Source organism: Homo sapiens, chromosome 6, assembly GCF_000001405.40.
Source record: "Homo sapiens chromosome 6, GRCh38.p14 Primary Assembly".
Taxonomy (NCBI): Eukaryota; Metazoa; Chordata; class Mammalia; order Primates; family Hominidae; genus Homo; species Homo sapiens.
The window spans coordinates 106276285-106302599 of NC_000006.12; the positions used below are offsets into that span (position 1 = coordinate 106276285).

Here is a 26315-nt window from a genome sequence, read left to right on the forward strand (position 1 = left end):
AAACCCCGTCTCTACTAAAAATACAAAAAATTAGCCAGGCACGGTGGCAGCCACCTGTAGTCCCAGCTATTCGGGAGGCTGAGGCAGGAGAATGGCGTGAACCCGGGAAGCGGAGCTTGCAGTGAGCCGAGATCATGCCACTGCACTCCAGCCTGGGCGACAGAGCGAGACTCTGTCTCCAAAAAAAAAAAAAAAAGAAACTGAAGCTCAAAGCAGTTGACTTGACCTAAGGACTACTAAGACCTGAAACTAAAAACCAGGCCTTTGTTGTTCTTCTAACACTTAATCATTATCCTCCATACCCAATCTTCCAATGCCCCAAATAAAACATTTAAATCAGTTTTAGAATCCTCTGCTGAACCCCTGAGTTCTTTTTAACAGACTCAGCCATTCACAATAGACTCTAAGAACACCTACTTAACTGTCTAATTAAATTATTAACTTCAATTGTGAAGTTAACTCAAATCCTTCTCTCTTTACACGATCCTCATCTTTTTCTATTTAGGCTATCTTCTTATTTACAAGTCTCCTAAAATATCATTTAATCTTCAAATCACCAGCAAGAAACAAGGCACTACACCTTCTTAAGGAGGTGTAAATTATTGTAATCATTTAATAAGAATTTGTGAACTCAGTAATAAAAATGTGGTACGGGGCCTAGTGCTTAACTTTGCAAAGCTTATAACCTAGTTGAGAAATGCCAGATGTATAAATATGAAACTAAGGAGTGACTCCATGTAACCTAGGTAAAATCTAAAAATTTTAAAACAAAGAAATGAGAAATGAAAAAATGTAATTTACAGTATACACTGTCATAAAATGCATGCCTTACTTGCTCTTGATACCACAGAAATGCCCTAATTTTGTAAAAGGAAAGTTTAACAAATACTAAATACCTACAAACACCCATTTGATGTGGTAATAGCATAGTCCAAAAGTTAAAACTAGATCACAGTTTTTAAAAATTATGGCAGGTGAAGGTTTTCTTCTGTTTTATTCTAGTCATTGCCATGAAAGAACATCTACTGGACTAACTCCCTGGCCAAAAACACTGTTGAAGACACAGGAATTACAGGACATGCCCTCACTTTGCATCATAGGATGGGACTGCAGAAGTAATCATGCAAGTTAAAACTAAGCAAAGTGATCTTAATAACTAATGGGGACAATTACGATTGTTCCACAATCTTTAAAAAATTTTGTCAAAACATTAAAAACTCTTACCGTTGGTTATAAATATACACTAGAGGCTGAGCATGGTAGCTCATGCCTATAATCCCAGCACTTTGGGAGGCCAAGGCGGGCAGATCACTTGAGGCCAGGAATTCGAGACCAGCCTGGCCAACATGGCAAAACCCTGTTTCTACTAAAAACACAAAATTAGCTGTGCATGTTGGCACATGCTTGTAATCCCAGCTACTCAGAAGGCTGAGACATGATAATCGCTTGAACCTGGAAGGCAAAGGATGCAGTGAGCTGAGATTGTGCCACTGCATTCCAGCCTGGGTGACAGAGTGAAACTTCGTCTCAACAAAACAAAACAAAACACCACAATAAATGTATACTGAACAATAACAAGTTAAAAGAAATCCTAATATTTATTTAGTACTTATAATTTAACACATTAGAAACACTGAGAACTGTTTTATTTTTAAATTTTATTAATTATTTTTTTTTAGAGACAGGGTCTCACTCTGTCACTCAGAGTGGAGTGTGGTGGCACAATCATGGCTCACTGTAACCTTGAACTCCTTGGGCTCAAGCAATCCTCCTGCCTCAGCCTGCCTAGGACTGTCGGCACATGCGACCATGCCCTGGCTAATGTTTAGATTTTTTTGCAGTGATGAGGTCTTGCTATGTTGCCCAGGCTGGTCTCCAACTCCTAGCCTCAAGTGATCCTCCCAGTTGGGCCTCCTAAAGAATGCTGGGATTACAGGAATGAGCCACCACACCCAGCCAAAAATGTTTTATTTCTTTGTAAAAACTTAAGAACTATAGTTTGAAGAGTGCTTGCTTTCTCAACATATAACTTATGGGCAAGCATCTTTCCCATGCCTTGGTGAACTGAAGTCATTTTTCTACATTTTAATCAACTTCTAATATTTTATTATTTGTATTTCAATGTCATAAAATATCTGAGAGTTCCTTTAATATGAAATTTTTTATAGCATCACTTCCTTTGGGACATCTTCATCCTTTTGTCACAACTACTTTCCTTATTTATGTCAATAAGTTCACCTTTACTGCATATAAGTTCCTCAGTAAGTTCCCCTGGCTGCATAATCTAGTCTCTTGAAGGGCAGCCATGTCAACATTTCCAAAGTCAGCTATTGCTTCCATAACTCCATTTCTTTCTATTCAAATTTCATTCCCAACATTATCAGTTTGTTTCTTTGTTGGATTTACATCTCTCTTGGCCAATTCCCTTTTTTCAATTATCCATTTTTATAAAATGTTACATGGGCTTATTGCTGGAGACAAGGAGGCAACACGACTATGTGCTTTGCTATCTGTGGGTAAAATGAATAACAGACATAGAGAGGCCAATCACTGACAGACATGGAAAGAAGTGACATAATTTATCACCGATCATAAGCTCATCTGTTGTTATGTAATGATTCCTGGACTAAACTAGCAATAAAGTTTGCATTTTATGTAATTATCTGCGGTTAATATACCACAGTAATTGAAATTTGAACCATACAGTTGGGGACCTGGTGTTACTTAACTAAACCATGATAACTGAAATTCATGCATACTGGAACCATGGAAAGGGAGGACTATCTGTACATAAAATAACTGTTTGAAGGCACTAGAGGGTGATCAATGCAGGCAAGATCACAGAGTTATTTACATTCTCCAAAATATGAGGGATACAGAGATGAGCACCACATTCCACTTAGCTTTTTCCTTGGGAGTATTTTCTAAACCACAGCAAGGAGAAAGGGAATTGAAGCACAAAGCAAGTCTACTGTCCTGAGAAAGCAGAGGTTGGAGTTCAATCCCCACACGTGGAGGTATCTTTGTACATACCCAGAATTTTCCACTGTGACCACAGAAGGGTCATGACTAAGGAATAAAGACCACATCCTTAGAGTAATGGCATTTCCTTCAGAAGCTATACCCAAGTTTATATGACATATGCCATATGTTAGGGGCTGAGCAATCAGTCTAATGCTAGAGAATCCATGAACAGAGGACACCAAAAGAGCAGAATGTAAGGGATGACTAAAAGTAGCTTCTGTGCAAATCTGGGCACAGAGGCTACAATTTAAACTTGTACCACCAATTCTAAAATGTATCAACTACTCACAGGGTTATGGCTGTATCATATTTTATAAAGTGGTATTCTAAAATTAAACACTATTATACTTACCATTTTGCAATCCCATCCAGAGTTGCTTGTGATCTTTTTTCTGCATTTCATTGATTACTTGACTTTTATGTTTTAAAGCATCAGCTTCTTTCATACATGACATAAAATGAGCTTCAATTGCATCCTTAGATGGACAGTGCAGAAGGTCTTTTTCTGGAAAACTCTATCAAAGGAAAAAATATACATATAAAACAGGATACACACATTACAAAATTAACCTCTTAAAAGAGAACTATATCCCCCAGTTTTTCAATATTTCTAGTAAACTATCTCTTAGCACTGAAATAACCCAAAATACTTTAAAATTTAACTTAAAAATCTTTAGCTATTTGGCCCATTTTGTACTTTTCCCAAATAATTCTTATGTGTTTTATAACAACATGAAAAAAAGGCATCAAAGGGTAATAATCTGAAAAATAGCTTTTCAACTGACCATACCAATATTGGCAAAGATGTGGAATGGAGCCCTCACACACTACTAACAGAAATGTAAAATAGTATAACCACTTTGGAAAAGTCTGGTAGTTTCTTAAGAAGAGTAAACAGACACCTACCATCTGACCCAGCCATTCCACAACTAGGCATTTACCTAAGAGAAATGAAAGTATTATGTCAAAAAAAAAAAAAAAAGAAAGAAAAGAAAAAAGTATTATGTCCATATGTCCATTTAAGGACTTGCTACATGAATGTTCACAATAGTTTTATTTGTAACAGCCCCAAACAGAAAACAAATCTAAATATCAACAGGTAAATGAACATATAAATTGTGGCATAAACTTATTCACTTTGACTAGGTTAAGCTTACTATAAGTCAATTAGACCTCAATAAAGCTGTTAAAAAAGTAGATTTTAAAGTCAAATAGCTAAATTTACATTCTATAACTTCACTGATTCTTTTAGGCAGCTAAAGCAATGATCATTGGACATATAGGGAGTTAGGTAAATGAGACGACTGATGCACTTTTCACTGAAAAAAAGATAATAACAGCTAACAGTTACTGAACACTTACTGTGACACCGTATTAAAACTTTTTATATGGATTATCTTATTTAATCCTAACAACACTTGAGGTAAACATTATTATTATTGCTATTTTACAGATAAAAAAATTAAAGCTTAGGGAATGTCTCAAGTCGCAAGTGTCATTCAGCTTGATAGTCATGGGGCTAGGATTTAAGGCTAATTTGACTCAAGTCCTACATTTTAACCACTGTACAATATCACTTCCTCCAAAGACTTAAATATTTAAGATAATCATTATATTCAAACATTATTTTACAAAGTTATTATCCTATATGTCCTTTAATAAATTTAAAAGGAGCTAAAAATGGCAAAAAAACAGCATTTAGTTATAGCCTACTCCGGTTACTGTATTCACAAACAACATTCAATTAACCCTGTCATGGAGCCTTCATAAAAAGAATGAAATGAAAAGATAAAGAAAGAAGCTCCTGAGTGACTATGAAACACTGATGGAAAGCAGGAATTAATTGAAAGTGATTAAAGATACCATTCCTCATCTCTCTCAATAAACTTTTTTAAAAGTCAAACTTATGATTCACATACAGTGAAATGCAGAAATCAAGAGTACAATTAAATGAGTTTTGACAATGAGTAACTGTCAGCCCAAGTATACAGCATTACCATCACCCACAAAAGTTCCTCTGTGCCCTTTGCAGTCAGTTCCCTCATTCCCTTCCCAAGGAATTACTGATAATGACATAACACCAGATTAGTTTTGCCTGTAATAAAATCTCATATAAACAGAATTGCAGTATTATGTAACTTAGTATCTTTCACTTAGCATATTTTTGAGATTCATTCCTGTTACTACACATATCAGTAATTAATTCCTTTTTGTTGCTGAGTAGCAGGCCATTTAATGAATACACCACAATCTGTTTATCTAAAAACTTGTTAATAGACACTGGGATTGTTTCTAGATACTGGCTATTATTTAAAAAGCTGCTATGAACATTAATACACAAGTCTTTTATAGACACGTCTTCATCTTTCTTGGGTATACAGCTGGAAAAAGAAATGCTGGGTCATAGAGTAAGTGTATGTTCTAACTTTACTTAAAAACTGCCAAACTATTTTTCAACATGATGTACAATTTTACACTCCCACTAGCAATGTATAAGAGTTCTGGTTACTCCGTGTCCTCAAACTTGCTACTGTCAATCTTTTTCATTTTAGTCATTCTAGTGAGTGTAATGTAATGTCTCTTTGTGGTTTTAATTTACATTTCCATGATGACTAAAGATGTTGAGTGCCTTTTCATGTTTGTTGGTAAATTCATATATGTTCTGTGAACTAAGTTTTTTTGCATTTGTTTAAAAGCAACTAATAGAGAACAAGTTGAGTATAATGTGAATTTTATGGTTGCATATGTAAATACTGTTCACAAGAATTGCTAGGTGAACAGAAAATTTCACCTAGCTAAACCAATCAGCTAGGAAAACATACAATGCACACATGTGCACACCTCCAAAATGGACCAGCTACTTCAATTCATGTTATGAGCTGTACTCATCTACATCAGGTGCTACAATTTCTTGTCCGATTCCAGAAAATCCTCCTTTCACTTCACCTGTCACGGCGCAAGTCTTCTATGTCCATTTCTGCAAGCAAAGTTCCAGTCTTTGCAACATGAAATGCCATATTTATTGTAGTATTTATGCATTTCTCATACATTTTACCTGTGTAAAACTGTGGTATGGTTTTTACTAGGTTCCTGTTTTTTTATCAGTGTAAGTTTGTGGATGTTGTGCCCCTAACCCTTTGCCCCAGAAGTAACCCTTTCCTCCAAAAGTCCTGTGGTTTTTACTGTACAATTTTTAATAGCAAAGTTAAGAACACATACGATGCATTATGGAAGTGCTTACACTGAGCAGACATTCTTGCCTTTTTCCTGATCTTAGTTTGGTAAAACATTCGATAAACCATCATGTAGCATGACTTTAACTGTAGGCTTTTCATATCTATCCTTTGTCAAATTAAGTAAATTCCCTTCTATTCCTAAGCTTGCTATAAGTTTTGATGACAAACACGTATTAAATTCTGTCCATGAATGACTTTTTCTGTATCTATTGATTTTTCTATTTTATTCTGTGATTTACATGGATTGAGATTTTTTTATTTTGAGAGGGTCTCACTGTGCCACCCAGGCTGGAGCACAGTGGCACAATCACACCTTATTGCAGCCTCAACCTCTGGGGCCCAAGCGATCCTCCCAATTCAGCCTCCTGAGTAGCTGGAACCACAGGTGTACACCACCACACTCAGCTAATTTTTTTAATTTTTTTTTGTAGAGATGAGGTCTCCCTATGTCGCCCAGGCTGGTCTTGAACTTCTGGGTTCAAGTAATCCTCCTGGTTCAGCCTCCCAAAGTACTGGGATTACGGGCATGAGCCACTGCACCTGGCCTACACGGATTGAGATTTGAATGTTGAATCAATTTTGTACTCCTAGGATAAACTCAACTCAGTCATGGTGTGTACCATCCTTTTTAATTATTACGAGATTCAATTTGCTAGTACTCTGTTGAAGGCTCTTGCATCCATGATCATGAAATATACTGGCTTATAATTTTCTTTTAATGTCTTTATCAGGTTTCAGTATCAGGGTTATTCTGGCCTCTAACACAAGTTGGCAAGTGTCTCATTTCTGGAAAAAGTTTGTACAGAGTAACAAAGCTTGTAAAGTTTGTAATATTATTTCTTAAATATTTTATTTTATTTTTATTTTTAGAGACAGGGTCTCATTATGCTGCCCAGGCTGGAGTGCAGTGGCTACTCACAGGTGCACTCCCAGTACTAATCAGCACGGGAGTTTTGACCTGCTCCATTTCTGACCTGGGCTGTTTCACCTTTCCTTAGGTAACCTGGTGGTCTCTTGCTCCCAGGAGGTCACCGTATTGATGCTGAACTTAGTGTGGAAATTCAATCGGCATAGCACACTACGGCCCAGAACTCCTGGGCTCAAGCGTTCCTCCCACCTCAGTCTTCTGAGTAGCTGGGACAACAGGCATGTGCCACCGCGCCCGACTAGTTCTTAGGTATTTTATAGACTTCACCAATGAAACGATCTGTGCAGGGTGTTTTACTCTCTGAGGCTTTTAAAATTACAAATCAAAGTTACTTATCAACAGCTATTCATTTCTGTTATTTCTTATGTCGGTTTTGGTGACTTGTGTTTTCATTGAATTTGTCCATCTGTCAAATTTATTGGCACAAAGTTATTTATTCAATTAATATAAATGCATTATATAATGTGCAGTCTTTTGTGTCTTCTTTCACTTAACATGGTATTTTCAAGGTTGTAGCATATTATCAGTAATTCACTCCTTTTCATGACCAAATTATACTCCATTGTAAGGATACATACAGTATTTTGTTTATTCATCAGCTGATGGACATTGGGTTATTTCCACTTTGCCTATTATGAACATTCATGTATAAGCTTTTGTGTGGACGCAAGTTATTTCCCTATTTTGCATATCAGAATTACATATTCAGTTCTCTTGGGAATATTACTAGGAATAGAACTGCTGTGTAATGTGGTAAGTATATCATTTGATGACATACCAAACTGCTTTCCAAAAAGGCTACACCATTTTACATTCTCATCAGCAACGTGTGAAGGGTCTAATTAACCTATACCCTCTCCATCATGTGTTACTGTTTTCTGTATTTTGTTGTTTTTTTTTGGAGACAGGGTTGCACTCTTGTCACCCAGGCTGGGTTGCAGACATGCCATCAGGAATCACTGCTCCTCCCAGGCTCAAGAGATCCTCACACCTCAGCCTTCCAAATAGCTGGGACTATAGGCACATGCCACCACACCAGGCTATTTTTTAAAATATTATTTTAGTAGAGATGAGTTCTCGTTATGTTGACCACACTGGTCTCAAAATCCTGAGCTCAAGTGATACAACTGCCTCATCCCCACAAAGTGCTGGGATTATAGGCATGAGCCACCACACCCAGCCTTGTACATCATCTTTTTGATGATAACCAATCTAGAGGGCGTGAAGGGGTAACTCGTTGTGTGGGGTTTTTTTTGTTTTTTTTTTTTGCTTTTCCCTAAAAACCAGTTATGCTGAACATCTTTTCATGTGTTTACTGGCCATTTATAGAACTTTACAGAAATGTCTATTCGAATCCTTTGACTAATTTTTAATTGGGTTTCTTTTTATTATCAAGTTATTTCCATATTCCGTATATTAAACTGTTATTAGATAGTATATGATTTGCAAATATTTTCTCCCTTTCTGTAGGCAACCCACACACAGTCTTGATTATTATAGCTTTGACACTGAGGAGTGTAACCATTATTTCTTAAAAATATTTCTTCTGACCCATTCTCTCTCCTCTCCTTGAATCCAATTACATGCAGACTGCCTGATATTATCCCAGAGGCTCTGTTTTTCCTCTATACCAATTTCCATCTCTCTATTCTCCAAACTGGGTAACTTCTATCGATCTGTCTTTGAGTTCAAAGAACCTTACTTCTGCCATCTTTAATTTGCTGTTAAGCCCATGTAGTAAATTCCTCATTTCAGATATTTTTCTAAGCAGTTCTACAATTTTGTGGTTTTTTTAAGTTACTGAATTTATAATAGTTGCTTTAATTCATTTTTCCGGTAGTACCAAGATGTGGATTCTCTTAGGTCAGTTTCTATTGAGAGTAAAATTTTTTTTTATTTGATATGGACCATATTTTCTTGCTTATTTGCAAGTCAAGTAGTTGTTGATTGTATGGTGGACACTGTGAATATGTTGTAAGGATTCTAGATTATACTGTCTTCCTTTAAGATGCTAAGTTTTGTTCTGGCTGGCAGTTAACTTACTGGCAGCTCTCCTTAATCCTAAAAAGGCAGGTCCAGAGCAACTCTTACTCTAGGGTTAAAGACTGGCAATAGAGATTGGCAAACTTTCTGTAAAGGATTAGACAGTAAATATTTAACACTGTGCAGGTCATACAGTCTCTATCCCAAATACTCAACTAGGCTGTTGTAGCCGCAAAGCAGTCATAGACAATATGTATATGAATTTCCATGAGTGGATGCATTTCAATGCAACTTTATTTATGGTCATCACTAAATCTGTATTTCATGCAATTTTCACGTCACAAAATATTTTTTTAAATTTTTTTCTAACCACTTAAAAATGTAAAAACTACTCTTATATCACAGGCCATGCAAAAACAGTCAGTGGACCACATTTGCCAACTCCTGCTCTGATGTATGATCCTTACTCCAAAATCATGGCCTTTCTGGCATCTCAAGTAACTGCCTAGTATGTAGCCAGATGTCTCTCCACTTTGAATGAGCTGGAATCCAACATTTCCCAGCATCATAAGACGTTCAGTATCTTTTGTCCACTCTTAACCCTACAACATCCACTATCTACTAGACCTTGCAGAGTATCAGCTATGCATGTGCAACCCAGGCCTCAGCCAAGCACCCAGGGAGAACATACACGTACACTTTGGCTCCTCCTTCTCTGATACCCTGCCTAGCAAGTTCCAACCACTTCAGCAGCCCAGAACTCCAATTTGTGCATCCTCAGCTCAACTGAACTTCTTTGCTCTGCTTGAGCTCCACTCTCCGTACCACCGTCAGGCAACCGTTCCAAAGCACATGGGGCTCACCTTGTTTGTTCCCTTTCTAAGGTTCAGTGCTAAAAACAGCTCTATTTCATATTTTTGGTCCTGTTTTCTAATTGTTGATGACTAGAGGAAAACTCAAATACCAGTTACTCTGTCACGGCTAAAAGTATATGTTAACATCAATAAATATCTGATGAATAAATGACTAAACAAGCCTTACTTCATAAAGTTCTAAGTTTGCATGACCCTCCATGATTTCCACCACCTGGTATTCCTATCTTTCTATAATCCCTTCCCCCTTGCATGTGGGCAGAACCTGTGACTTGCTTCTAACTCAAAGAATGCGGCAAAGGTGATGGGATGTTACCCCAGTGATTAAGTCATGTTATACAGTAAGATTCTGTCTTACTACCAGACTACCTCTAGACTTTCTTTGTTGCCCTGAAGCAAGTAGGCATGTTGGGAAAGTCCACATGACAAGAACTTCACATGGTCTTTAGGTGGTCAATGCAGCTTATTACTGACAGCCAACAAGAAGATAGGCCCCTCAATCCTACAACCATAGGATATGAATTCTGCCAGCAAACTAAGTCTACAAGTGGATTCTCCCTCAGTTGAACTTCCAGTTAAGAACGCAGCCCAGCCAACACCCTGATGGCACCCTCATAACCTAGGCAGAAGATCCAGGTATAAGCTATGCCCAGAATCCTGACCCACAGAAACTGTCAGAGAACAAATGTTGTTTTAAGCTGGTGGTAATTTGTCAGACAATAGTAGATAACTAATACAACATACTATTGATAGATACTATAAAACAGCTACCAACATTTATAGCTGGGAAGTGCAGGCAGTGATAGAAGCAAAGGAGAGACCATGAAATACACTCAAGAACTTCAGGAAAGAAAAGCTACCACAGACCTATGTCAACAACACATAACAGGAGGAGGGACATGATAAATTCCTTCAAAGAAACACAGTGGCTCTTGGCCTAGCAAGAAAAAACTTGTCCATCAGAAAAGAAGCTTGCTCAGTCACACAAAAATACTCAAGGAACAGTCAGGACCAATGCAGGGCTTTTTCAAGCATGGTAAGCAAAACAGGATTTGCCTGCTGTGCTTGAAAGACAGTTGGTTCAAAAACCTAACTTGTGTTATCTCTGGCATTCAGCAGAGTTCAGCACATAAGCACTTATCTGAATGTTGATCTTATTTTACTTAACAAATGTGAGCTCTTACCCTTAATCATTGCTGTCAACATTCAAAATTAAAATGTCTCCTCTCCTCAAAACCAAAACGCACCAAATCAGCACCATGTTACCAAGAGGAAGAAAGAAAAACACCAAGGTTTTATAGGATTTGTTTACTCTATTAAACTTTATTTAGGATTTGCAACAGAACTGGGCATTTTAAAGACCCCACTATTTTCACCTGATGTCATTAAACTTTTGAATCACATTAACTCCTTTTTTAAAAATTCCATGCACTGTTCTCAACATGGACAAAGAGAGAAAAAATTTTTTTAATTTTAAAAAATCTACATACTGTAAGTAATCTTTTAACTGTAATGTCGCTTTGCAAGCAGCATGCCTATAGAATTAATGAAAAAAAATACAGAGAGAAAACGCAAAGGTGGCAAAATGTTAAAAAGCAGCAAATCCAAGTGAAAGGTATTATGAGTATTCACTGGACCACAATTAACTTTTTTTTTTTTTTTTAGATGGAGTCTACTCTGTTGCCCAGGCTGGAGTGCAGTGGCATGGTCTCGGCTCACTGCAACCTCCGCCCCCCAGGTTCAAGCGATTCTCCTGCCTCAGCCTCCCGAGAAGCTGAGATTACAGGCACCTACCACCATGCCCAGCTAATTTTTGTATTTTTAGTAGAGACAGGGTTTCACCATGTTGGCCAGGCAGGCCTCAAACTCCTGACCTCAAGAGATCCACCTGCCTCACCTCCCAAGGTGCTGGGATTACAGGCATGAGTCACTGCCCTGCCGCACAATTAATTTTTCTAATATATGTTTAAATTTTTTAATATAAAAAACTGGGGACACAGAAATGAGATAATTTTCTTGGTAGTCTCACCAAGTTTAGGAATCAAAATGTCCTTAAAAACCAATGAGAAAAGCTTGAAGAAGGTACCATTTTCATTGTTTTGGTAAACAAAACATACATCCAAATCTATATGTTATAAAGCAATTAACACTCTACAATTATATTTATCTCCCAGAAAATAGAAAATACAAAAATGCCTATAAAAATATTAATTTTCTGATTCACCCTTAAAAGCTTTTGGTTCTACAGACAATTACCATTAACTTTTAGATCTTCATTGTTCTCTAACTCTTGTTAATCAACATGTGGTCTGGTGGAACAATATCATAGCATTACCTATGCACTTGTAAGAAATGCAGAATCTCTCTGAATCCAACCCAATGCTGCAGAATCAGAAACTGCACTTTAGTAAGAGACACAGGTAACTTGAAAGCACATTAAAGTTTGAAAATCACTATTGTAGACATTAAAATGCATTTATTATAAACATTATAAACCTATACAAATCACAAACATCAAAGTCAGTTAAAAATTAGAGGAAATATGTCTGTTTGAAAACTGTTTAACAGTGTTTTTTTGAAGAGTTTAGTCTGAACTACTGATCCAAATGTGTGTGTGTGTGTGGCAGAGGCAACAGGATCTCTTAGAAGCTTTGATATTGCACAAAAAAATCTAATCAAAATCTATTACAACCTTTGAAAACAATTGTAAAAGAAATTCTAAGAAGTCTGGTTAAAACATCAACATTATCTGGCATACTCAATACAACACCACAGAAGATAAATGCAGAGACACCAAGTGACACAAAATTGTTACTCAATACATCCAATCTGTTGAATGTATAAACTATTTTCTACAAACTTTAAAAACCACTTCCTCACTAAAAGCATTGATTTTCTGCCTGAAAATTAACACTTACCCAGTTTCATTATAATCAATCAAAAATCTATAAGGCAGTACAATAGAGGCAGGCCTACATCAATCAGTACAAGCTATCAATTAAACATGTGAAGACAACCTTTGAAGTAACCTAGGTCCTGATGCTCCCCTAAATGAATGGAACTTAGTATATACAGAAAAAAAAAAAATCTGGGCAATAACTTTCCTCTAACAGGCCAGGATAAGAATAAGTAAGAACAGCTGAAAGAAACACACTGATAGCTTGAACAAACTCTAAATGTTCTCTGTAATTTCCTTATTAACTGTAAGATTCTTTTTTCTATTTGCTAATAAACTTTTCTACTGGGAAGAAAATGTATGACCTACTAAGGATCCCAAAGAGTTTATATTTATGTGGATTATATTACTGATATTTACACTAGAAATTAGAGCTGAAACATTTAAAAAAAACATTAATTCACTTAAAAATACCAAGAATAAAACCACTATACATTAACACTAAAATTGTATTTCCACAAAAATCAACTATGTTTCCCAGAACAACAACAACAAAAAAAACAGGAACACTGGCACTAATTTGTATTTTTGCAAATAACTTTAATGCCTTAATAGACAACCAATGGATTACCTTAAACTTGCTTCTATGTTCAATATTCTACAATATGTTGTTTTGGTTGAAGTATATAAAGAAAATTCAGGCTCACAAAGATATGTAGTTTAAAAGAAGTATTTTAATAGCCTTTTTGGCTTTGTGGATATTCTTCAATACTACACCAAATTTAACAAGTTCAGTTTATTATATTATTATTATTTTGAGACAGAGTTTCACTCTGTCACCCAGGATAGAGTGCAATCACTGTGAGTGGTACAGCTCAATGTAACCTCAAACTCCTGGGCTCAAGTGATCCTTCCACTTCAGCTTCCCAAGTAGCTGGGACTAGAGGTGCATGCCACCATACTTGGCTTATTTTATTTTATTTTATTTTATTTATTTTATATATTTTATTTTATTTATCTATTTTATTTTATTTTATTTATTTTATTTTATTTTATTTTATTTTTAGATACAGAGTCTGCCCTGTCATTCATTCTTTCATTCGTTCATTTATTTTTAGAGAGAGTTTTGCCCTGTCACCCAGGATGAAGTGCGGTTGTCTGATCATGGCTCACTCCAGCCTCGAATTCCTGGGCTAAAGCGATCCTCCTGCCTCAGCCTCCCAAGTAGCTAGGACTACAGGTGCACACCACTGCGCCCAGCTAATTTTTAAACTTTTTGTAGAGATGGGGTCTACGTTGCCCAGGCTGGTCTCAAACTTCTGGGCTCAAGCAATCCTCCTGCCTCAGCCTCCCAATGTGCCAGGACTGCAGGTGTGAGGTATCATGCCCATCCAGTTTATTGTAATAATAATGTGGAATCTGAAACATTACCAGTGAACATTTTCTACTCTGTTACATTAAGATTTCTTATTCTAATGTTGCACTTTGAATGGATCTTTTTACACATGCATGATCTTGTAACATCAAGCACTGGTCATCTGGAAATGTTCACTGATTTACGCATTCCAAATGTTGACCCTTTCACTATGAAACTTTTAAAACATCAGATGTTAAAATAACCACCGATCTCATCAGAAAATTATTTAAGAATAAAGCTTTCAAGTTTACAGTGGCATCATGTTTTCCAAAATTCAAATTTTCACTAAAAAGTTGAAATTTTACCACTGACAACAAATACTATCACTTGTTTTCCCTGCAGTGAGAGGTTCACTTTATTCTTTTTCAAGAAAATGTCTAACAAATAACAAAGTCTCAACAACCACAGTTTGTCTGTCAATCATTCTTTCAAGTAAAATAATGGTGTTTCATAAAAATAAGTGGCCAGTTCAGCTGGCAACCAAAAAATTACGCAAGTGCTTTTCCTCAAGACAACCATATTTGGCATGCAACAGAGGAGCTTTATGTGTACTTCCCATTCCATCATACAGGATACTAAAAAGACATGTACTTAAGAGTCAAAATTAATAATAATTAATACTTTGTACTACTACATCCAGAAAAGTCTTAAACTGGTGTTCTTTTTACTCTAAGTGTGTGGTTATAAAGAAAACAATGACAACTAGTACAGTGAGGTACAATGCCCTGCTTTGTGCTAAGGCACCCACAGTTTTAACCACCATTGTTGTTGCATTATCAGTGTAAATGTTAACACAACGGGAAGGGCCAATAACATCCTGATATTATTATATCATGGAAACAGATTTGACCTGATGAATCCATTGAAAGGGTTTCAGGAACCCGACACACAGAAGGATCTCCATATTTGTTGAATGAATGAATGAGTGAATAAATAAACAAGGAGACAGCTATATTTTAATCTAGATTTCAAAGTATTTTAGAGCTTATTTTTCACACACAAAAAAATCTAATTATTGGAATTACCTTCCAACATTAACAGAAAAGACTCGTTAGGCAATATAGCACCCCTACCCTTAATATGTTTGAAGTAGTTTTATCTCCACACCTCTCTAAACTTAAATTGTTGTATATGCAAGCATTCCTTGCTTTGCATGTAACATGGTAAATGAAATTCATGCATACCAACACTATGTGCTCTATCTGTACTGTTCTTTGGTAACTAACGTGTTTAATAACATGGTATTGTGCAAAGCACATTATAATAAATGTACACGGAAATAAGCTCTAATGACCCACAAACTCAAATTCAGTAAAACAGGAAGGAAAAGCATCACATGAAGAATGAATGAGCAACCTTTGGGCAGTAACTATGAATGGACACCCCGATGGGAAAGAAACTCAGACACCTAAATGACTTTTTCAAACTCTACATGCCTCTCTCCAATAATGTATTGGAGAGAGGCCAAGGCAGGTGGATCACTTGACTTGAGGTCAGGAGTTCAAGACCAGTTCAAGCACCTGAGACCAACATGGTGAAATCATTGCTATTTGAGAATGAATCACTGTTCGTGATCAACTAATATAAGAGACCGACATGGTGGAATCATTGCTATTTGAGAATGAATTACTGTTCGTAATCAATTAATATAAGTGTTTCCAATCACAAAAACCAAATGGTGTTTGTGAATTGGGGGAGGGGAACAGAGCAGAAGCAAGGTGGCTAAGGGAATGAGGGACCAGCACTTCATAAAATAATGAGACAAAATTAGGTCACACTAAATTCAGTCTGGTCTTAAAAACTACAGGAATGAACATTTTTCAAAACAGAGGTAGATCAAATCTTTGGAATTCTATCTCCTAACCCTTCTCTTAATTCATTCAAAATAGCCTTAGAATTACTCAACAGTATTAGGTTGTCCCCTCTGTACTTCCATATCCACATCTACATGCAAGATTTTTGTTTTTTCTAGCCGACTTTTAAAAATTAACACCAACTTTCAAAACTTTAAATTTTATTTTTTATAGAGGCAGGGTCTCACTACATTGCCCAGGCTGGTCTTGAAATCCTGGGCTCACCTCGGCCTCCCAAAGTGCTGGGATTACAGGCGTGAGCCACCAAGGCTGGCCCAAAAACTCGTAAATTTTAAAAAGTGTATTCAGCACTAATAAAGAAAAGCAGTTCATATATTAAAAGTTTAAGTGTTTCTGCCAAGAGTTAGGAAAAAATTGAAAAGTATCTTATAGACAAATACTAATCGAAGCTTAGCAACTAAAACAGTGTCAGGGGAAAAGCAATAAATAACTTCACTTAAAAAGAAAATTCTACTCGAAGTCTATTTATTATGTATCACAAATGGGACGAAGGAGAAATGCAATTTACTATACCTTAAAATGTACTGTGATGTTCCAAGGAAGAGCTGAACTTGATGCAAGAAGATCAAATAGCAAACCAATTGGATAATGCCTAAAAATGAAACAGTATATTTTGAGAAAATAAATATTTAAAGTTATAACTACAAGGCCAAAATAAATTTCCAACACATATTTTAACACCAAATGTCAGGGGCTTTAATCACAAATCACAGGAAGACTACATTCTACAGTTACGTGCCTAGGCTAGTATGATCTACTTTCCAGGCATCAGGTGGTTTCCTTCTAACCACTCCATTCCCATAGAAACCTCAATATGCACAATAGGATTGTGGGCAAAGGCATTCTTTATCAGCCATGTGAACTGTTATGTCACAGTACTGTTGCATCTAATTGTCATCCCTGTATTCATAAAGGACAGTTGATTTTTGTAAATTTATTTAAATATGTTTTTTACTTTTAGAACTTAAAATTTTAAAAAACTGTAAGAACCAAGATGAGCAACTAAAACGCATGCAAATCACCTATTCTGTGGTTATTACCATTAACATTATAGCATATACATTTCCAGTCTTCTACCTACACATACATATCTAAATACAGATTAGGACTATCCTTTACAAACTGTACTATAACTTTTTTCACATAATATAATGTCAACATTTTCCCAAGCCACTGAATATTCTTCTGAAACCTAATTCTAAATTTAAAAAAATAAGTTCCAAAATAAGAGAACATTTCCTAATATAACCATTACCCACAGTGAAGTAAATAACTTAGCAATAAATAAACATGACTAATACAAATGTTGTAGATTTCAATGGACAAACCTTAAGTCATCCTTTTAAAAAATCTAAAGTAAATTAGCTTACTTGGTTAATCAGAATTAAATAATACAGGTTGAGTATCCCATTTCCAAAATGCTTGGGATTAGAGAAGTGTTTCAGATTTCAGCTTTTTTTTTTTTCTTCAAATTTTGGAATATTTGCATCATATTCTTACCATTTGAGCATCACAAATCTGAAAATCTGAAATGCTGGAATGAGCACTTCCTTTGAGTGTCACGTCAGTGCTCAAAATGTTTTGGATTTTGTAGTCTTAGATTCTGGATTTCAAATTGTGGGATTTGGGATGCTCACCCTGTACTCACAACAAGGGCAAAAAGAAGACTACTTGGTGTTATACACAGTCCTGTCTTTATCTGTATAATCTATTAATGAGTTACTCCTAGATTTAAGAGCTGCAAAATTTGAAAACACATCAAATTTATCTCAAAATGAGTAACTCTGACCAAGATTCAAATATCAGTTAATATTATTTATGCTTGTGCTACTCTGGGCACGATGCTTATGGGATAGCCCTGCACTGCAAGGAGCAGTACACATTTGCTTATATATATAAACATAGATATATGTTTATATATATAATTGTATATATAATTTATGCTTGCTTACTTGTATAGAATTATGGAAAAGTCATCAGTTTCTAGAGATCATGTATTTATTTGGTAGGAATTTAGGATGGGCTGGGTACTGTAACTCAAGCCTGTAATCCCAACACTTTGGGGGGCCAAGGTGGGTGGATCACTTGACTTGAAGTCAGGAGTTCGAGACCAGTTCCAGTACCTGAGACTGACATGGTGAAACTCTGTCTCTACCCAAAAATACAAAAAAAAAAAAAATTAGCTGGGCATGATGGCACACACCTGCAGCCCTAGCTACTCAGGAGGCTGAGGCGGGAGACTCTCTTGAGCCCGAGAGGCAGAGGCTGCAGTGAGCCAAGACTGTGCCACTGCACTCCAGCCTGGACGACAGAGTGAGACCTTTTCTCAAGAAAAAAAAAAAAAAAAGAATTTAGGATGAACGCCCGGTCGGTAAAAATAAAGCAGTGGGGGTACTTTTAGTCTTATATGCATTATATCTCTTAATAATATCCCTTAAATTTCTCTCTAATCAATCCTTTCATATCCAGAAACTAATACTGAAGAAAATTCTGGAACCAGGAAAAACTCTCGCCTCAGTCAAAACCTAAAATTAAAAAAAAATATACATACACACACACACACATATACACACATATATAGTACTATAGACAAGTTATAGATTTAATCCAATTCTGATCCTTCTCTCTAAAGTATTAAAATTGAACAAGCTCTAAATAATACCTTATACTTTTACAAAACAGACCTTTTAACGTCTTCAATTTATTTTTTAGAATATCTCTCTTAGGTATCTGCAACAGGGTTAAAGATGAATGTAGGCACTTAATTAAAGTTTTATTCACTTGGATTTCATTAAAAAGACTTAACATTTCAAAAGTGACACCATATTGCTTTCCAAATTCTAAACAGCACTGAAAACACAAAGAACTCCGCTAGGCAAAATAGTCTAATCTATTAGATAAGATTCACTCGAGATCACATAAAATTACTAGCAATCCAGTGTTTTACATATTCCCTGCCATTAACAAATGTGTGAAACACTTTTGTGAATTTGTAAGCAAATTCTAAAACAAATATATCTTAAAGCAATCTATAATATAAAATCAAGTAATTTTTTTTTTTTTTTTTGAGACAGGGTCTTACTCTGTAACCTAGGCTGGAGTGCAGTGGTGCAGTCAGAGCTCACTACAATCTTGACCTCCTGGGCTCAAGCGATCCTCCCACCTCAGCCTCCTGAGTGGCTGGGACTACAGACATGTGCCACTATGCCCAGCTAATTATTTTATTTTTTATAGAGATAGTGTCCAACTATGTTGCCCAGGCTGGTCTCAAACTTCTGGACTCAAGCAATACTCCCACCTTGGCCACCCAAAGTAATGAGATTATAGGCATGAGCCACTATGTCCAGCCCAAATAACTCTTTAAGGAAATATCTGGATCAGAATACAAGTTAAACATAAGACTCAATCATAAATTATTTTTTTAACCCTCAATATTTAAAAAACGAGAAAACTATAAATATTTTAAAAATGAGAAAATTATAAATACACAGAAGCTTGAACAAAGTACATAATAAACAACTGCTGAATGCATAAATCGAAGAAGTCCACAGACTAACCCTAGGTACAACATAAAGATCTAATGGAGCCAATTTTAGGTTCTGAGTTTCTTTTTTGAGCAGTTCCAACTATTTTAATGATTGACACTTCATGACTTTTATTCATTCTTAAAGGTATTCCAAAGAACAGAAAAAACTCACTTTAAAAAAAAAAAGATAAAACTTACTCCATGTAGTAATTACCACATGGAGCTACTGGACACTTTTATAAATCTAAGATATATTTTAGGGTCTTAATGATCTTATTGTTTCCTATGTATCAAAACATTTTACTATTTCATCACTCTAGAACTTATTTCATCATTATTTGTCAATTATTCCCAATAAGACACTAAAACAGTAAGAATTTGAAAAAATAACATGATGCCTAGAAGGATGATAGAAGAATGTACCCTTCTTTCATTTTCTTATGTGTTGCCTAAAGTATTGAAACATCTTTCAATAAAGTGTAAAATAAGCATGCAGGCTGGGCGTGGTGGCTCACGCCTGTAATCCCAGCACTTTGGGAGGCTGAGGCGGGTGGTTCACCTGAGGTTAGGAATTCAAGACCAGGCTGACCAATAAGGTGAAACCCCATCTCTACTAACAATACAAAAATTAGCTGGGCGTGGTCGCATGTGTCTGTAGTCCTAGCTACTCGGGAGGCTGAGACAGGTGAATTACTTGAACCTGGGAGGTGGAGGTTGCAGTGAGCCAAGACTGCAACACTGCACTCCAGCCTAGGCAACAGAGGGAGACTTGGTCTCAGAAAAAAGAAAAAAGCAAGCAGACTCCATTCTGGAATCAGTTTTTAGCTATCATTAACACAGTTGAAAATTCCAAGTTTCTCATTTTCTACCAACAATGGCAGAGAAAAAAACTGACAGAGGAAGATGTTTCACAATTATTAGACAAATCAGGACAAAATACAAAGAGAGACAGCAGTACTCTAGACTTTAATGACAATAGTGAAATTGATCATTTAAGTGAAATCTCAAACTCTGAGTCTTTAGATGATATCTTAAATTTTCCATAGCTCAAGAACTAATAGAAGAACAATATATTTCTAAAGACAAAAAGGAACACATGGTAATCTTAACAGCTTAGTCATCAACAGAAAAAACTTCATTACATGATATTTTATGACAAAAACCTGGACCATTTCTTTTTACTAAAAGAACATGTGACAATATTATTTCATCTTTTATGCTATTTACACAAATTTATTTGATAGTAGGCAAATGCAAAAGTTCTATTTATATAAAAAGAAGACTGAAGGAATTAGATCACATAGAAATGAAAAAAAGTACTGGGCTGCTCAGTCTAATTGGTGTTGATTCACATAAAAAAGAAAATATTTCATAATGAAATCATGAGCTGGCAAAGGGTTTATAGATTTCTTCAAGTATTATTAACACTATTAGATGCAAGAAGGGCCAGAAGTAATAAACTAGAACCTCTCAGAGGTATATTTGAATGTATAAAAATTAATGAGCAATTAGTTGCATTCAGGGGATGTTGACCATTTTAGATACCTTTAAAACTAGAAAAATATGAAATGAAAATGTAAATTTGCTGTACTTAAACCTGTATTAAAATTTCTAATAAAGTTGTTATACACTATTCCTTTATTCTAAATTCTCTAAATTATTTGCAAAATGACTTAAACACACACACACACACACACACACACACACACACACACACACACACACATATATATTTTAAAGTTCATTGGGGCTGGGCATGGTGGCTTATGCCTGTAATCCTAGCACTATGGAAGGCTGAGGCAGGTGGATTGCTTGAGCCCAGGAGTTCGACACTAGCCTGAGCAACATGGCAAAACCCTGTCTCTACAAAAAAAATTAGCCAGGCATGATCTGTACTCAACAGAGGGAGACCCTGTCAAAATCTATTTTTTTTTTTTTTTTTGAGACAGAGTCTCGTTCTGTCGCCCAGGATGGAATGCAGTTGTGCGATCTTGGCTCACTACAACCTCTGCCTCCCAGGTTCAAGCGATTCTCCTGCCTCAGCCTCCCGAGTAGCTGGGATTACAGGCGCGTACCACCACACCTGGCTAATGTTTGTATTTTTAGTAGAGATGGGGTTTCTGTTGGCCAGGCTAGTCTTGAACTTCTGACCTCATGATCTGTCCGCCTCGGCCTCCCAAAGTGCTGGGATTACAGTCATGGGCCACTGCACCCAGCGCTAGCCTGTCAAAATCTTAAAATTTTTTTTTAAATTTCATTGGTCCCAGATGGTAAATGACGACAACTCCTTTGTCTTGGCATATTAAGAATTAGGAGATAAATTTAAACATATGCTTCCTTAAAATTATATTTAAATTTAAATTAGCTGGGCGTGGTGGCATGCACCTGTAGTCCCAGCTACTTGGGAGGCTGAAGTGGGAGAATTGCTTGAACCCGGGAGGCGGAGGTTGCAGTGAGCCAAGATAGTGCGACTGCACTCCAGCCTGGGCGACAGAGGGAGACTCCATCTCCATAAAAAAAATAAATAAAGTATTAACATAAAAACATTCTAAATATTATAAAAATGAATAATCATCCTGTTATGATTTTTTAAAAATAAAAATGAACCAGAAAAACGAAGGAGTAAGATAACCATTTACTTATTTCTATTGTCAAATTCCATAATTAACATGCGGTTCAATACAAATTTTTATGTTAGAATTATTTTCATGCAAAGATATTAATTCCAAACAAATATGCTATCTGAATTCACTGGTTCCCAGATTGCTTATTTCTAATGAATCTACTGATATTCAACACAATCTATAAAAGAAAACAGAACTGGCAAAAATTAAAGGTACTGAGTTTCTCTTACACTTTAATCTGATTTACATCAAGGATTTCAAAAGTACTAATTTGTACAAGTCTTCTAAACAGATATTATATACAGTTTTGTGAGAAGCCTTCTAACCCACAACACAGAAACCACATATACCCTAAGTAAATCATAACGTAACCATTGGCTATTATGTTGCTACTTCTACCATCTAACTTAAATTTAATAGAAAAGCAAGTAGTAAGGATTTGAACCTGGAATACGGTCCACCCTTGGTACGTGTGGGGATTGGTTCCTGGACCTAGCTGGATACCAAAATTCGCAGATGCTTAAACCCTTATATTAAATGGCATAGTATTTGCATATAACCTACACACATTCTCCCGTATACTTTAAATTATTGCTAGATTACTTATAATACCTATTACAATGTAAGTGCTACGTAAATAGTTGTTATACCATATTGGACTTTTTGTGATTTCATTTTTATTGTTGTATTATTATTAGTTATTGCTTTTTTCCCCCAAATATTTTCAATCCATGGTTGGTTGAATCCATGGATGCAGAACCCATGGATACAGAACACCAACTCTTATCCAGAACTGTATTTTCTGTGTAAATAAGAGGACCCAACTAGCTAAAGACTCAGTGTATTGCCCTATAGAAAATGACTGCATAAGAACAGTATTAGGTCTATTTTTACACTTTGTTCTTTTTCTTCTTTACATTGCTCTAGTCTTCCATATTCAATTCTCGAAATGAATATATTTTAATATTTCTTTGCTTTTTGTTTTTTATTCATTACTCCATTTATGTGTGTGTGTATGTTTGTGCATGTGTGCACATTGGCACATGGTGTAGCAATAATGGATATTCTCAGAAGGGACATGATTCTAGTATAAATATCTGTACTCAGATAGCAAACTAATACAAGTATTCTAAAATCAGCACTGAAAGAATTTTCCCCATACTGGAGAACTACTGCCCAAGTTCATGTCACTAAAATAAATGCCTCCTATTCGGAAAGTTGCTGCATTCTGATTCACTGGAAACGGGATTACATTTCATTGTAACTGCAAGCATGTAACTACAAATGCAAACCAAAGTAATTTGATGATTGCTGTGAATACTGACTTACTCTATATGTAGGACAAACACAAACAACTATAGAGTAGCAATGTGTTTCACAGCTTTCTAAGCCCATTCTTATATATGAAAAAGTTCAAAAATAATGAAGGGATACCACATATATAAAATCTATGTAAGTCACATTTCAAAAATCTAGTTTACAGAATACATTGTTAACTCCTTTATGCCTAGTTTTCCATTATTGGAACGCTAAGCTTGTGGGAGTTATGTAAACTGTTCAAGGTCACTGACAAGGTCTGATTTTTCACACACAAAAAATTTTAATCTCCTGCATAAATGGGTTAAGTTCCAGAAATTCACAACCTTAAAAAGACTGGAAATAAGACAGAAGAATCTGTTAGCATTTATGATTAAAATGTTAAATGTTTTTTAAAAAATTATACACAGGTTTTCACTAAAGCATTTTGCTAAAATCTACTTTTGAAATCACAAAGAGTATTAAATTCTGAGTCATTCTATCATGTCTATGTTTAAGATCAACATCAATACAGCCATGGGACATTTAACAACATGGATATGTTCCGAGAAATGCATTGTTAAGCAATTTCATTCGCTGTTCAAACATCACAGTGTACTTACACAAACCTAGATGCCATAGCCTACTACGTACCTAGGCTACATGGTGTAGCCTAATGTTCCTAGGCTATAATCCTGTACATCATGTTACTACACTGAATACTCTAGACAACTGTAACACAATGATAAGTATGTATGCATCTAAACACAGAAAGGATACTATAAAAATACAGATTATCATCTTCTGGGACCACCATCCTAAATGCGGTCCATCATTGACCAAAATCATGTAGCCCAAGAGTATGTATTTTTTTTTACAATTCAAAAAGTAATTTCAACTTCTTCCTTTTACCACCTGTCCTGAAAGTCAATTTGCAGAGAAAAATTTCCCATTAAAGTTATTTATTTTACAGTTGACAAAATGAGAAGCTTGTTCTAAATTTCGTGCTTGAAGGTCTAAGATCTAAACCAAAATTAGGGTTTACTTACAAAGTATTCTTCGGAAGGACCAAGAACTGGTCTCTTAACATAATTCTAATATAAAACTAACAAATATAAAATGTGAACACCAGTTGTGGTAATAAGAAACTTCACCCCTTAAAATACAATGTTAGAGCACCCTCTGCTGACTAACATCTCAGTCTGAAGAAAGAGACTCTATTTTGAGTTAGGCCAGCACTTTCCATTTCCCATGTAATTTTTAAAAGCTAAAGATGCAAAGATAAAGCTCTAATCAGACATAACCTCCTTGTAAGCTCTCTACAAATCGACAACAACAAATGTATTGAGTATTCATTATAAGTATACCACTGTTCTTAAATTTTTTTAATTCTAATTTGGACAAATTGATATAAGCAATTAGAGAGAACAGATAAGATGGGAGAAAAATTTTTAAACAAAATGTTAGCAGGTGTGGTAAAAAGAGCCCTGAACTGATACTCTCAAAATCTGGGTCCTAACTTATTTGAACAAGTTACCTTACTTATTTGAGTCTCGGTTTTCCAAATAAAAGCAAGGGGCAAATTTAGATTCATTCATTCATTCATTCACTGAACAAACATTTACTTATCCCCTCCTATATGCTGCTGGTTTAAGTACAAAGAAAAATGATCCAAAATCTGAACCTTTTTTAACACTGACATGATGCTCAAAGGAACTGCTGCTTATTGAAGCATTTCGCATTTCAGATTTTCAGATTTGGAATACTGTAAGTATATAATACAAACATTCCAAAATCTGAAAAAATCTGAAATCTGAAAGACTCTGGTCCCAACCATTTTGGATAAAGGATACTTAACCCATATTAACTCACTTAATTCTTGAAACAAAGTTACGAAGTACAAGGTACCATTATCATTGCTGTTTTACAGACAAGAAAACTGAGATACAAAAAGGTCAAATAACTTGCCCAAGGTTATACCGCTAGTAAGTGATGAAGCTGGGATTTGAAATCTGGTTTCTGACTCCAGAGTCAGCATCCTTAATAACCATTATGTTACAATACACAGTTATAACATGACAAGAATATAGGAAGTACACACGTAGTGTAGAGATGGCACAAACGTAGAAATGATCACTTTGGGCTAAAAAGAACCACAAAAAAGGTCATAGTTAAGCTAGATGTTAGAAGTATGAGCTACAGGAGGGAATATATGAATGAATAATTAATTACAACCAAAACAAAGGATGCTGGAAAGAGCAAAAAAGATTTATCAAATTAGATGAGCAAAGAAACGGAAGCCCAAAACATTATCCCACATTCATTAAAACAAGTAGCTTAGTACACCTGGAAAGACCTGGAAAGAAGTGGGATCATGGACAACCTTTACACACACATCATGCTTTAGTGTTTGGCTTTATACTGTAGATGATGGTAAGTCAGAATAGGGTTCTTGAGGACAATAACAATGTTAGATCTGCATTTCAGAAAGAAAAATTATGGCACTGGGGAAGATAAACTAAAAGTAATAGTATTAAAAGCAGGAAGACAAATTAAGAGGCCACTAAAACAATCCATGTGAGAAATCAGATGGGCCTGAATCCCGAAAAACAAAGCAGGGAGTTTAAGGCATACTTAGA

At 35.7% G+C, this 26315-nt stretch overlaps 1 protein-coding gene and 1 pseudogene across 10 annotated transcripts in view; both read right to left on the minus strand.

Moving 5' to 3' along the window:
- ATG5 (autophagy related 5) overlaps window positions 1–26315 on the minus strand; it is a 141285-nt gene that overhangs the window by 91809 nt on the left and 23161 nt on the right. For 8 of the 10 annotated variants that reach the window (NR_104403.1, NR_104402.1, NM_001286107.2 and 5 more), the window contains 2 exons: window positions 16744–16822; window positions 3377–3539 (listed from right to left, as the gene is read on the minus strand). The exons of 1 other annotated variant lie outside the window; for it this stretch is intronic. Coding sequence is in view for 7 of the 9 variants with exons in the window: in NM_001286107.2 (NP_001273036.1) it covers window positions 3377–3539; window positions 16744–16822 (242 nt within the window). In the remaining 2 variants the exon portion in view is untranslated. Of the gene's footprint in view, window positions 1–3376; window positions 3540–3930; window positions 4554–16743; window positions 16823–26315 lie in introns of those variants that run through there. One more of the 10 variants, XM_047419574.1, reaches the window with a different exon arrangement.
- Window positions 7129–7427, minus strand: RN7SL47P (RNA, 7SL, cytoplasmic 47, pseudogene; annotated as a pseudogene).